This window comes from Homo sapiens, chromosome 14 (assembly GCF_000001405.40).
Source record: "Homo sapiens chromosome 14, GRCh38.p14 Primary Assembly".
In the NCBI taxonomy this organism is placed as follows: Eukaryota; Metazoa; Chordata; class Mammalia; order Primates; family Hominidae; genus Homo; species Homo sapiens.
In genome coordinates, this window is record NC_000014.9 from 55,000,766 (window position 1) to 55,015,723 (window position 14,958).

A 14,958-nucleotide genomic window follows, 5' to 3' on the forward strand; every position below is an offset into this window, starting at 1 on the left:
AAATTTAATTATACTTTCATTCTGACAATCTGATGGCAAATTTGAAATGTTTCAAAATAAAACAAATACAAAACTAATAGAGATGAGCAAAGAAGAGACAAAAGATACACTAAATCATACCTTTCCATGCAGTCTTTGGTTTCCACATTCCAAACTATGATTAGACCATTAATACTACCTGCAGCTAAATATTGCCCACAGGGAGACCAGGTTACTATATTGAGGGTCTGTAAAGAAAAACAGTTAATAAATAATGATTTTGTAAAATTTCAAACTAAATACTCATTTTATTACCAAATTCAATTTTCTTTTCATTTTTTTTCAAGAATTTGGAGGGGAATCAACCAAATTCAAATTTTTATATCCCTGTTCTATATTATTTCTAATTATATTCGATACAAGACAAAGTTTGCTTATTTTCTAACCTCACTTTTCAATAACATTCAAGTATCACTACCAGCTATTACTTTATCATGAAAAAAATTATACTGGCACCATTTTATTTTATTTTTAGAGTCAGGGTCTTGCTCTGCCACCTAGGCTGCAGTGCAGTGGCACCATCATTACTCACTGCAACTTTCAACTCTGAAGCTCAAGCAATCCTCCTGCCTCAGCCTCCCAGGTAGCTAGGGCTACAGGCATGCACCACCACACATGGCTAATTTTTTAGTATTTTTTGTAGAGATGGAGTCTTCTTTTGTTGCCCAAGTTGGTTTCGGATTCCTGGCCTCAAGCAATCCTCCTGCCTCAGCCTCTCAAAGTGCTGGGATTACAGGCATGAGCCACTGTGCCCAGCCACTGGCACAATTTTCAAAGCAAAACCTAAAAAATGTTATTATCCTAGAAAGAGAGACAATTCAAGACATCCTCTTAGCATTCACAATCAAGATGAAGAAAACTAGTAAGTGAAGTGAACTTTAGTAAGCCATTGCTGACCTACTGGGCTTATGTTTCCTTAACTGTAAATATCTACGCATGTAAGAGACAGAGAAAACAGACCAACAACCTTTCTTCCTCTAAAATTTCAGAGTCCATGATCACAAGTCTCAGTGAAACTCACTTAACAATAAAGGCTAACTACTGATCATTTTAGAACAACTTGTTCTAATACTATGCAAGGGTTAAATCTGACTTCTTATAACAAAGACCTATTTAGTATCCAGTTATTGATCAAATGAAGAAAGGATGAGCTGTTAGAAGATGGACCACATACAACAGCCAGGAGTTGTTTTCCATTCCAATAATATTTAACTGCAACTGTATTCAGGCAAACTACGCATTAACTGCTCCTTATAGCCCACTGAAAGTGTCACTTTGTAAAACCTACCTGAGAGATGAAATTATCTGAAAGATCAAATTGATGACTCCAAGATTCTCTTCTATATAGCTTAACAGATTTTTCCACAGGAATTGCCAGTAACTATTAGAAAAGATAAACAACGTAAACAAAAGTTTACATTAAATTGAATTTGAAGAAGGAAAAAGGCACAAAATTCATTCAGATATATTTACAAGACATAAAAGCAAATTAGTTTTTATTGTTTCTGTTTTTAAGAGACGGTGTCTCACTATGTTGCCCAGGTTGGTCTCTAACTCCTGGGTTCAAGGGATCTTCCTGGCTCAGCCTCCTAAGTAGCTGGGACTACAGGCATACACCACTGTGCCAGGCGCAAATCTGTATTTTAATTGGCAACTAATGAAACTCAGAACATTACTTAAAACTTCAATAAGCAAAAAATAGGTGATAATTTGTCATGGGAAGAGAAAAAAATAAAGGTGATCACTCTATTGCTTGCACCCAAAAAATGGAGAACTTGTAATTACTAGTACTTTAAATATGATTACTTTTTTTTCCCCCAAGAGACAGTCTTGCTCTGTCACCCAGGCTGGAGTGCAGTGGTGTGATCACAGCTTACTGAGCCTCAAACTCCTGGGGTCAAAGGATCCTCCTGCTTCAGCCTCCCAAATAGCTAGGACTACAGCCCAACTAATTTTTTTCCTGTTTTTTTGTAGAGATGGGGTCTCACTGTGTTGCTCAAGCTGATACTGAACTCTGGCCTCAAGTGATCCTCCTGCCTCAGCCTCCCAAAGTGCTGAGATTACAGCGTGAGACACCATGCCTGACCTTCAATACTACTTCTTAAGGAATCTAGGTCCTTCTGATATAAAAATTCCTCCCATTTGTTTGAGGAAAATAAAGACAGAATCCTTCAAATATCTTGAAAAACAAGAAATGTATCTTCTTATGCATTATTCTGAAGAAACTGATTAGTAGAAAAAATAAAACTGTGTATTCTTTCCATGATTATCCAAAAAAGGATTAGTAACATATAATAAAAACTTTATTTTAAAAAATTTTTAAATTAGGTTTTTTTGTAAGCAAAGAAAAAAAATACATACTACATTTCCTTGAGCTCAATTATCACTTAAATCTAGAATGTACATTGTTAAAAGTTCACATGGGCTGGGTGTGGTAGCTCAGGCCTATAATCTCAGCACTTTGGGAGGCTGAGACAGGCAGATCACTAGAGCTCAGGAGTTTGAGACTAGCCTGAGCAACATAATGAGACCCTGTCTCTACAAAAAATAAAAAAATTAGCCAGCCATTGTGGGCGCGTGCCTCTAGTCCCAGCTACTCGGGTTGGGGGCTGAGGTGGGAGGATGAACTGAGTCCGGGAGGCAGAGGTTGCAGTGAATCGTGATCATGCCACTGCACTCCAGCCTGGGCAACAGAGTGAGACCATGTCTCAAAAAAAAGGAAAGAAAAAATAATTTTAAAAGCCAATTGTGTATATATGTATAAAAAAGAAAGAAAAACGAACTATATATATATAGTTGCCCAGGCTGGAGAGAAGTAGTGCCATCTTGGCTCACTGCAACCTCTGCCTCCCAGGTTCAAGCAATTCTCCTGCCTCAGCCTCCCGAGCAGCTGGGACTACAGGCGCACACCACCACGCCTGGCTAATTTTTGTATTTTCAGTAGAGACGGGGTCTTATCATGTTGGCCAGGCTGGTCTCGAACTCCTGACCTCAGGGGATCCACTCGCCTCAGCCTCCCAAAGTGCTGGGATTATAGGCGTGAGCCACTGTGCCCAGCTACCAACTGTATATTTTTTATGTACACTGTCTGCTCATGTCTTTGCTCATCTTTCTAATGGGTTTCTATTGATTTGTAAGAATACTTTGCACACTATGGAAATTAGCTCTGTTTTATTGTTTCAAATTTTCTTCCCCAGTTTGTCATTTGTACTGTGACTAATATTTTGTACCATGCAAAACTATTTACTTTTTATACAATCTACTTTATTAATTTTATTTCCTGAAAAATTTCAAAAGAATAGAAAAGTTGAAATAATAATATAGTAAATACCTATATATAGACTCATCATGTAGAAGCAAGCTTCCAAGATGGTCCTCAAAGATTCCCACTCCACTTCCTGGTATTCATATCCTTGTGCTAATACATTTGCTAAATCTCCTTTTCTCTACCTTTATATACACTAACTTTCCATATACATTTGGTTCTATTTATCTCTTTAACAGGTATGTGTCTATTCATAACTCAATAGCAAACTTATAATTCTCATAACTTTATGTTTTATTATCTAACTGAATTATTTGCATCACTTTTCTTTTTCAAAACTTTTCATTTTCCACATGGACTTTCCCTTTTTTTTTAGCAACCAATGTTTATTTTCTTTTTTTGAGATAGAGTCTCGCTCTATCACCTGAGCTAGAGTGCAGTATTGTGATCTTGGCTCACTGCAACCTCCGCCTCCTGGGTTCAAGCAATTCTTATGCCTGAGACTCCCAAGTAGCTGGGATTACAGGCATGTGCCACCATGCCCAGCTAATTTCTATATTTTTAGTAGAGACAGGGTTTCGCCATGTTTCCCAGGCTGGTCTTGAACTCGTGGCCTCAACTGATCCACCTGTCTCAGCCTCCCAAAGTGCTGGGATTATGGGCGTGAGCCAGCGAGCCCGACCCAATGTTTATTTTTCATCAACCTTATTTCCATGTTGCTTAAGAGCCTGTGCAAGAACAGCTTAAGATCACTCAGTGGTTGTTCCTATGCATTCAGTGGTCTGAGCAGTGGGGAGCCGCAGACCAGTCTTCTGTGGCAGGCTGAGCACTCCAGTTTTCAGGAGGGAACTGCTAAATAGGCACAGAGGGCACCTGCACACCATCAGACCAGTCTGCAACCTCAGGTTGAGGAGCACCGAACTCAGGAGCTGGAGTAGTCCATTCACCCTGAAATTCCTCCTTGGTCACAGCCTTTTCAGCAGCAGGCTGCTCTTCTTTTTCAATCTCCTCAGGAACACTGTAGAAGTAGAGATCAGGCATGACCTCCCACAGGAAATGGTGCCACACATGCGAACTTCCTGGATCGGCATCCACCACATCAATCCCACTGAGTGAGCTCCCTTGCTGTTGCATGGGATGGTAGTGTCCACATAGCACAGAGGAAAATCTGTGTGACACAGAGCAATGGTAGGTACGTTAACATAAGATGCCTCTGTGAGAGGCTGGTGATCAGCACTGGGATTAGTCACCATAAGAAGCTGTGGCTCCTAAAAGGCTGCCTGGATCTGGTTAATGAAAGTTCCAGGAGTGAAGCAGCCAGCAACTGGAGTGACTCCAGTGGCAGCAGCAAACTTCAGCATGGCCTTCGGACCAGTATTCCTGGATGATATGACACTGACATTGAAAGAGTTTTCAACAGCAACAATGGCACAAGCTCCCAGGAGAAGCTTCTCCCAGGTCCTCTTCAGATTTATGATGTAGATGCCAACACTTTTCCTTTTATAGATGTACTGTCCCATCTGGAAGACAAAGCTGGTGCTACCTAAGTGGGTTCCTCCTGCAAGGAACTTAAGGACATCCTCCTCCTTCATTTGCAGGACATAGAGGTTCTAGACATTGTGAAAGTTTCCCTTTAAGTTACGATGGGAATCCAGAACAACATCATAAGGATCCTTCTCTGGGTAGTGCAGAAAGCCCTCATGGGCTTTAGAATCAGCTCAATTTGGTCCTCCTAGACATCTTATTGGTACTTTATTTTACTTTGTTTTCTTTTTTTTTTCCTTAGAGCCTTCAGATGAGACATTTTATTTTTAAGGCAGGGTTTTGCTTTGTTGCCTAGGCTGGAGTACAGTGACAAGATCATAGCCCACTGCAGCCTTAATCTCCTGGGCTCAAGTGATACTCCTGCCTCAGTCTCCCAAGTAGATGGGACTACAGGAATATGCCACCACACCTGGCTAATTTTCATTTTTTTGTGGAGACGAGGTCTTGCTATGTTGCCCAGGCTGGTGTCAAACTCCTGAGCTCAAGCGGTCCTCCTGCCTCAGCCTCCCAAAGTGCTGGGATTATAGGTGTGAGCCACCACACATAGGCTGTTGTTTTATATGTGAATGTTATCAAAACTATAGATTAATTTAGGGAAGAACTGACATCTTTATTTATATCAAATAATTCCTTTCTAAGAATATATGTTTCTATTTATCCAAGTCTTCTTTTACTTCTCTTGGTAGCATGTTAAAAGTTTCTTTATATAGATCTTTCACATTTCTTGTACATTTAACCTGTTACTGTATCTTTTTCAATTTAAAAGTAAATGCATTATTTTTCCTACATGCTTTCTAAATGGCTATTGTTTGTATACAGGATAACAATCCTGTATTTGTATAACAATCCTGTATACAAACAATTTTGCTTCCAGTTACCTTACTAAATTTTCTTATTAGTAGTAATGATTTTCTTCCCCAGTTGATTTTCTTGGGATTTACTCATATACAAACATTTCCTTTGCAAATAATGAACATTCTCTTTCTTCCTTTCAAATTTCTCATATCTTTCTGTTGTCTAACTGTATCAGTTAGTACCTCCAAAATGTTAGGTACTAATGGTGAGAATGGACATAATAAGACTGTCTCCAGAGTTGTTCCATTAAGCATGAATGTGAACAAAAATATAAAATTAATTCATTCATGCAAAATTTATACTTCAAAATGAATCTTGAAAAAGTTCAAATGTTTCTTAAAGCATTTCAATACTAATTATTTGGCTTGGTACTCTAAAATTTATAATCCAAATTTTTAAAAAGTAATTAAAAAAACTATTTTTACACTCAAAGTTGAAAAGGACTGAATAAAACAAAGGTTAAAAATAAGAATCATGCCAGGCACGGTGGCTCACGCCTGTAATACTAGCATTTTGTGAGGCTGAGGTGCGTGGATTGCCTGAGCTCAGGAGTTCGAGACCAGCCTGGGCAACACGATGAAACCTCCTCTCTACTAAAAATACAAAAAATTAGCTGGGCATGGCAGTGTGCACCTGTAATCCCAGCTACTCGGGAGGCTGAGGCAGGAGAATTGCTAGAACCTGGGAGGCAGAGGTTGCAGTGAGCCGAGATTGCACCACTGCACTCCAGCATGGGAGACAGAGTGAGACTCCATCTCTAATAAAAAAAAAAAAAAAAAAGAAAAGAAAAGAAAAATAAGAATCACTTACCTTCCCACTTTTTGGCTGCCAAGCAAGTCTGCAGATTGATTTTGCATTTATCACATCGTTGCATTTTTGTAGCAGTGGCCAACTAATAGCACATGTCTAATTGGTAAAAAAAGAAAATTTCTTTCCTTTATGAAAATCCCCCCCAAAATATATGCAGAACTGAATATATTTAAAGGTTCTTCAAATCAATATATATCTCAGAAAAATGCAACTTAATGCACCTTAATTATAATAATACCTGATATACCTAAACTGCTTTAAGTCCTTCAAAGGTATGATGAGTACAAATCTTAAATAACTAGAGTATTTTCTGTGCAGAATAAACAAATGATATACTCATTGAATAATCATACACACATACACAAAACCCCAATACGTGAAATTCTTAGAATGACTACAAAAATAAAACTTCAATGGTCTACTATAAAATGTTAAAGTGTCAAAGTCGCTTCTTTTAAATAGCTCAAGAATGAAGGGAAGGAACTGTGGATATTAAGGCATATTTGTGGAGGATATTTCTCTAGTCAATTACATTCATATTCTCTCTAGAAATGCCAAGCCATCTTGGATTGCCTTGGGCAGACTTAACTGTTCCCTCTGCCAATCTGGAGAACACCTTATTTCGTACCTCCTTTAAAACCTTTATTAGGCTGCATTTGAATAAACTGTATATGTGACTCTCCAAATCAAATGTGACCCATAATTTTTTATCCCCAACCATCTAACCCAAGGCCCAACGCATGGTCATTACATTGTAAATATAAAATAACTGAATTTATTCCCTTCATTTACAAAACTTAAAAAGTTAAATATAAGATTATCATTCCCCTTGTGATTAGGTAAAAATGCAATTAGTCTTCAACGTATTTATTTGGCACTAGAATACTGTGGACTTTGATCACAAAAACAGTATTTAATGGTACCAAAGAAACAAATTCCAAAGAAAAGCAATTATTAATTTGGCCCAGTAATACGACATATAACAATTTATTACAGAAATGGGCAAAAAACTTTAAATTTAAATTGCTGAGTTTACCTGATCTGAAATTTGCCACACTCTGACAGATCCATCACAACTAGCTGATGCCTGCAGGAATAAACAATACATTTCTCTATAGTCATAGCCATAATACTACATGGAAAGTGGTTCAATTAATTAAATCAAAAAGCCCTTTTATCAACTGGGTGAAATTTCCTGCTAACTCTCTTACTGAATAAAACAAAGGTTGAAAAGTTGAGTTAGCAGAAAATTTTTTAGAGAGTTAGTAGGAAATATATTTTTAAACATATTCAGGAAAAACACAAAAAGAGAAGGAAAAAATAATTACCAGAAAGATGTCCTTAGGATCAAAGGAAAGACTTAAAACAGGGGCATCATGTCCTCGAAATGTTTTCTGTTGGCTGCTATCCATCACATCCACAATTTTGACTAGAAAATCACTAAGAACAAAAAGAGTAACGCAAATGAATAAATGCTAACACAAAGGCCTCTCCTAAAAGCTATGATCCAAATATTTCTTTTTTTTTTTTTTTCTTTTTGAGACGGAGTCTCACTCTGTCACCCAGGCTGGAGTGCAGTGGTGCGATCTCAACTGCAACCTCCGCCTCCCAGGTTCAAGCGATTCTCCTGCCTCAGCCTCCCGAGTAGCTGGGATTACAGGTGTGCACCACCATGCCCAGCTAATTTTTGTATTTTTAGTAGAGATGGGGTTTCACCATGTTGGTCAGGCTGGTCTTGAACTCCCGACCTTGTGATCCGCCCACCTCAGCCTCCCAAAGTGCTGGGATTACAGGCATGAGCCACTACGCCTGTCCAAGTATTTTAAAATCACAAAATCTTTATGGCAACTTATAAAATTTGGCACCCAAATTTAATGGCTTACCTTTTAGTTTTGCTCTATAAATATGTTGAAAACACAAGTCAAGATTTCCCATTATGCTAAAATACAAACACTTCCTAAATGGCTTCTTTAGTTACATCTTAAGCTTCTATTATTTGCTAATCTAATTATAGCTACAACCATTTTTAAAAGTACTATACCTTTCACTTCACCTCAGCAATTCAACCAACTATATTGTTTTCCTATGACAAAGAAGCATCAAGAGAAACTCCAAAATATTCTGACTGTACAGCCCAAGTTCTAAGTAAAATAATTTTTTTTTTTTTTTTGAGACAGAGTTTCACTCTTGTTGCCCAGGCTGGAACGCAATGGCGTGATCTCAGCTCACGCAACCTCTGTCTCCCGGGTTCAAGCAATTCTCCTGCCTCAGCCTCCCAAGTAGCCGGGATTATAGGCACCCGCTACTATGCCCAGCTCATTTTTGTATTTTTAATAGAGACGAGGTTTCACTGTGTTGGCCAGGCTGGTCTTGAACTCCTGACCTCAGGTGATCTGCCCACCTTGGCCTCCCAAAGGGCTGGGATTACAGGCATGAGCCACGACGCCAGCCCTAAAATAATTTTTTTAAATTTTCCATCAAGCTATGCTTTCAGTATTATAAAATAGGCCATCTGCCCATCTGCAGAGCAGTATATTTCTTTCCTTTTTTTCTTTTTTTGAGACAGAGTCTCACTCTGTCGCCTAGGCTGGAATGCAGTGGCACCATCTTGGCTCACTGCAACCTCTGCCTCCTAGGTTCAAGTGATTCTCCTGCCTCAGCTTCCCGAGTAGCTGGGATTACAGGCACCCGCCACCACACCCAGCTAATTTTTTGTATTAGTAGAGACGGGGTTTTGCCATGTTGGCCAGGCTGGTCTTGAACTCCTGAGCTCAGGTGATCTGCCTGCCTTGGCCTCCCAAAGTGCTGGGATTACAGGCGTGAGCCACCACAACCGGCCAAAGCAATATATTTCAATTCAAAAAGAAGCCCAAGTTTGTCCTCAAAAACCTTTACTAGATAAAAGAATATATGAAGAAACAACAAACAACAAAAAATTAAGTCACGGTCCTGAAAACACTACCCTGAAACAAATAAACAAGGCCTTTTGTTCTAACATTATTTCCTTTTCTGATGTCAAAGAGCCTTACCTAGATCCAGCAGCAATTTTAGTACCATCCCCATTAAAGACCACATGGTTTGCATTTGTAGTGAAGCGAGTCAATATACCATCTGGAACTCCTTCAGGAAATGTGTGGACTTGAATAGTATTATTAGAAACTGCAGTGACCAGTTTTCCACTCTAAAAGAAAAATTAAGGTAAGAAACATTAGCAAAACAAATCCAAATGACTGGGAGTCTCTCCATAGTTAAAAATCCGGTAAAAAACAAAAAACCTTAAAAATCTAGTTCATATCAAGAGAAAAATTATCACTAAATGTACAACTTTGCTGGAATGTGCATTAGCAAGAAAAATTTGCTAGCTTTAGAAAAATTAATTCTACCTTAAGCAGCCTATCTCTTAGCCTCTAATTTTTCTTTTACTTCTGGTAAGAAAAATGTTTGAATAGTACTTCTATGGATCCTAAGTGTTATAAAAAGGAAGGAGACTCAAGAGAGCTTTTCAGAGAAAACAGAGCTAGTCTCAAAATGAGGAGAAGGCATCAGAAGGCACGGCCACAATGGCCACTGCCCTATGTTTCCACAACAAAAGACACATCACATGTCTTTTTAGAGTAAAGTCTAAATGCAGCATCCATGCCAGAGACTGCAGTGATATACCTACAAGGCAAGGAATGTTGAGGATTGCCACACCACCAGAACCCAGAAGACAGGAATGGAACATATTCTCCCTCAGAGCCTTGGGAAGAGCCAACCATGACGACACCTTGATTTCAGACTTCTTGCCTTCTGAACTGTGAGATAATTTTCTGTTGTTTTAAGCCACCAACTTTGTGGCAATTTGTTACAGCAGCCTTAGTAAACTAATACAAGACCATGTTTACTTTTTCCTCCTTTACAGTCTTCTTCATATACAAAGGCAGTACATGCTCACTGAACAGAAAAAAATGACAATATGAAAGTATTGGGGCTGGGTGTGGTGGTTCACACCTGTAATCCCAGCACTTTGGGAGGCCAAGGCGGGTGGATCACGTGAGGTCAGGAGTTCGAGACCAGCCTAGCCAACATGGTGAAACCCCATCTCTACTAAAATTACAAAAAAATTAGCCAGGCATGGTGGTGGGCAGCCAGCTGTTTGGGAGGCTGAGGGAGAAGAATCACCTGAACCCGGGAGGCGGCGGTTGCAGTGAGCTGAGACTGCGCCATTGCACTCCAGCCTAGGCAACAAGAGTGAAACTCTGTCTCAAAAAAAAAAAAAAAAAAAAAAAAAAGTATCCTGAGCAGAGGGTGAGTTCCTTATTTTATGAATTAATCTCCATTAACATTTTGGGGTTAAGTCTTCTTAATTTTGTTATATTCGTGTGTGTGTTTGTGTGTATATATATATGTATTTATTTATTTTAACAAACATAAGATTACACTATATTAACTGTTCTGAATCTCATTTTTTTTACTTATTGTAAACTTATTTTCAACTTATTATAAATATATTTTCTGATGAAAATAGATACCCTACTTTTATAATGGCTGCATAGTATTCCATTATATGGCTCCACCAAAATTTATAAACTAACTTCTCAATTGAAAGACCCTTCAATTGTTTCCGACATTTGCTATTGTTATGAATTGTGCTTTTACTATCCTTTTCCACATAAACTTGAAAATAGCCAGAAATGACTGTGTACATTCTAATTTTAATACACGGTATCAATTTGCTCTAAAAAAAAAAAGTTTCTCACTTATGTATCCAGCCACTATGTATGATAATACTTACTTCTCAAAGCCCTCACTATTACTGGGATTAGCAATATTTTTCATCCTTGCCAATCTTATGGGGAAAAAAAATCCAATTTTAAAATTTGCATTTCTTTGCTTACTAGTAAGATTTAGCTTACATTTAATGTATGTTGGTCATTTACATTTTTTCTTCTGGGAACGCATTTTCTAATTATATATGATCATTTTAAAAAGAATATCTAAACATCATCTTATCTACCTTAAATGCGCCTGGGTTTGGAAAAAATATGAATTCTGTGGAAAGATTTTTCTACCTAAACACAATACACTCAAGTTAAAAGTCATCACAAATAAAAAGCTTAGGGGTTTATAGATAATTAATTTCCAAAGTCCTTCTGAATAAGTCTTCTTTCTCCAAGTAACCTACATCTCATTCCCATATTTGCGTTACACAAAACATCAGAAACACATATGAATATATATTGGGAAAGTTAATGAAACATTCCCGTTTTCTAGAACAATTCCTTAAGTTATCTGAATCAGTAGGTGTTTTAGTCTGTTCTGTACTGCTATAAGAATCCCACAGACTGGGTAATTTACAATGAACAGAAATTTATTGTCTCATGATTCTGAAGGCTGGACACTACAAGATTGAGGGGTTGGCATCTGGCAAGGGTCTTCTTATTGCATCATCCCATCTTGGAAAGGTAAAGAGAGGGCGAGAGGGAGAGCAAGAGGATCAAACTCACCCTTTTATGATGAACCCACTCCTGAGATGGTGGCATCAATCCAATCATGAGGCCAGAGCCCTCATGGTCTCATTACTTCTCAGTAGACCCCACCTCCCACCACTGTTATGTTGGGGATTAAGTTTCCAACACATGCTTTTAGGGGAACACATTCAAATCATAGCAGTGAGCTAAAAACACCACTGAGTTTTCCCTTAAAGGAAAAAAGGGAACATTTAAACCTTTCTTGGAAGTATTATTTTCCTGCATTTATTTTAATTGGTTCACCATTCATGTCCATTAATCACTTTTAATAAACCACAAATTTTGGGGTGGTCAGGTATGGTGGCATGCACCTACAGTCCTAGCTGCCCGGGAGGCTGAACTGGGAGGACTGCTTGAGCCCAGGAGTTTGAGACCGGTCTGAGCAACATGGCAAGATCCCGTTTCAAAAAAAAAAAAAAAAAAAAAAAATTGGTGGGGCAAGTTATGGCATTATCATGCATTTTAAAATATTATTTCATGAGATTAAAAAAAGGTATATCTATATTCAAAAATATTTTTCACACCCCATCTCAAAAAAAAATGGTAGGGCAAGTTACGGCATTATCATACATTTTAAAATATTATTTCATGAGATAAACAAAGGTATATCTATATTCAAAAATATTTTTTCACTCAAGCATAAAAATCACATGCCAGTATCATTTCATATCAATTGATATAACTGTTTTTACTACCTTCAAAGCACATGAATATGCCTTTTCTCCAACATTAATGAACTTAGGATCATCATCATCCAAGTCTTCCCAAATCCTCACATCACCATCACTTCCACAAGTCACAATAAAACTGTGAAGAAAAGACACAAATTAAAGTCATCGGGCATGGTGTCTCATGCCTATAATGCTAGCACTTTGGGAGTACAAGGTGGGAGGATTGCTTGAGGCCAGGAGTTCAAGACTAGCCTGGATAATACAGAGAGACCTAGTCTCTACAAAAAATTAAAAAATTAGCCAGGCATGGTTATGTGTACCTGTAGTACCAGCTACTTGGGAGGCTGCAGTAGGAAGATAACTTGAGCCTGGAAGGTCAAGGCTGCAAGTGAACCATGACGGCACCACTGCACTCCAGCCTGGGCAACAGAGCAAGACTCTATCTCAAGGAAAAAAAAAAGTCACCTAGTTTCATATACATTAGTTTTTTGGAATGCTACTTCTATATTTACCACTTTTTCACAAAATGAAGACATTAGCCAGTATTTTTTCTCATTTTATACACTTAAACTTTAAAAATAAAGTGCTAATTTCCTTCTATAAAATAAAAGATGAGTTTAATACTCTAGTTCTTCTTTGGCATAAAATTATAAAATTTTGAGGCAGAGTCTCATTCTGTTGCCTAGGCAGTATCATGATTATAGCTCTCTAAACCCTCCGCCTCCCAGGCTCAAGTGATCAAACCACTTCAGCTCCCCAGGTCGCTGGGACTACAGGCGCATGCCACCATGCCTGGCTAATTTATTTTTTGTAGAGACAGGGTGTCCCTACGTTGCCCAGGCTGGTCTTGAGCTCCTGGGCTCAAGGGATCTGCCTGTCTTGACCTCCCAAAGTCAAGGGATTACAGACATGAGTCACCATGCTTGGCCAGCATAAAATTATTTATTTGTAAGAATGTAAGAAAGATGGGTATATAATCTGCAACAATAAAATAGGGACCGTATCTTCCTTGTCCACCATTGTATCCCTAGCACCAAACAGTCTCTGACAGAAACCTTAATAAATGTTTGTTGAATTAATAAATGAATAGATGTATGAGCTCAACTATCCAAACGTGTTTCAAATAACCATCTGTATCTATCATAACTTGTTTTAAACTTATCTTCCAAATGCTTTTACTCATTTAGTATGTGCCCTATCTACACACATACAAAAAAGCAAATAAAAACACAAAATATAATGTACATAATAAAATACAAAAATAACATATAATAAACAGCAAAAAAAATCTATATAAAGAGCTGTGGATGTTCAAAAGAAAAAGATTAATTCTCACCTGAGAAAGTCAAAAAGATTCATAAGAAAGATGGTATTTACACTGGGAAGTCAAAGAACAAGCAGGACTAGATATGCTAAGACTGGTGACAAGGGCAGTTCCAGAGAAAACCACATGAAAAAAAATATAGTTAATACAGCATGGGGGAGTTTACCTGGAGCAGACAAGCCAGGAAAGAAAAAGGAAAATGAAGTCTAGGTCACCTATTTAGAATAACCTTAATGCCAGAGTAAGGTGGTTAGGCTCCCTTCTATAGAGAGTAGATAGGAGGACTATAAGTCTCAGTTTGCCTGAGATACTCCTGGTTTATGTGTCCAACTGGCCTGGCATTGTCCAGGAATTTTCACTTTAAAACATATTAGTATTAGTTGCATCAAAATTGGCTAGGGTGGAGCCTGACCAACATGGCAAAACCCTGAGTCTACTAAAAATACAAACATTAGTCAGACATAGTGCTGTGCACACCTGTAATCCCAGCTACTCCAGAGGCTGAGGCATGAGAATCATTTGAACCCAGGAAGCAGAGGATGCAGTGAGCCGAGATCGCACTACTGTAGCCTGGGAAACAGCATGACACTGTCTCAAAAAAAAAAAAAAAAAAAAAAAAAAGGCTAGGGTGGGTTTGGCAGACCTCTTCTTTGTACTTCCAGCTTCTGCCATGGTCTCATTTGGTAACATAACACACATAACACATGGTTAAATCTGTAAAATGACTAGTGATAAGCTATCTCCCCTTTTCCTACCCTTTCCTGATGCAATGTGACTAACAAATCCTTTCGGGGACAACATGTGAGGCATTCAATAAAAAACGGAATGGATTCAGATGTAAGACCCTAGGGATAGCTACTTCTTTCAGTCCCAATGGTGATGAGAGAAGTATTTCACGTTTTTGTTCCAATGGAATTTTTTTTTTTTTTTTTGAGACAC

General features: G+C 38.2%; 1 protein-coding gene and 1 pseudogene across 3 annotated transcripts in view; both read right to left on the reverse strand.

The window, feature by feature from the left end:
* The window catches only part of WDHD1 (WD repeat and HMG-box DNA binding protein 1), an 88,151-nt gene that overhangs the window by 61,817 nt on the left and 11,376 nt on the right, over positions 1-14,958 (reverse strand). For all 3 annotated transcript variants that reach the window (NM_001008396.3, XM_006720012.2, NM_007086.4), the window contains 7 exons: positions 12,720-12,831; positions 9,544-9,695; positions 7,843-7,954; positions 7,551-7,601; positions 6,515-6,610; positions 1,328-1,420; positions 121-227 (listed from right to left, as the gene is read on the reverse strand). In NM_001008396.3, the coding sequence (NP_001008397.1) occupies positions 121-227; positions 1,328-1,420; positions 6,515-6,610; positions 7,551-7,601; positions 7,843-7,926 (431 nt within the window). In that variant the 5' untranslated portion in view covers positions 7,927-7,954; positions 9,544-9,695; positions 12,720-12,831. The remainder of the gene's footprint in view (positions 1-120; positions 228-1,327; positions 1,421-6,514; positions 6,611-7,550; positions 7,602-7,842; positions 7,955-9,543; positions 9,696-12,719; positions 12,832-14,958) is intronic.
* On the reverse strand, positions 3,990-4,998 carry RPSAP13 (ribosomal protein SA pseudogene 13; annotated as a pseudogene).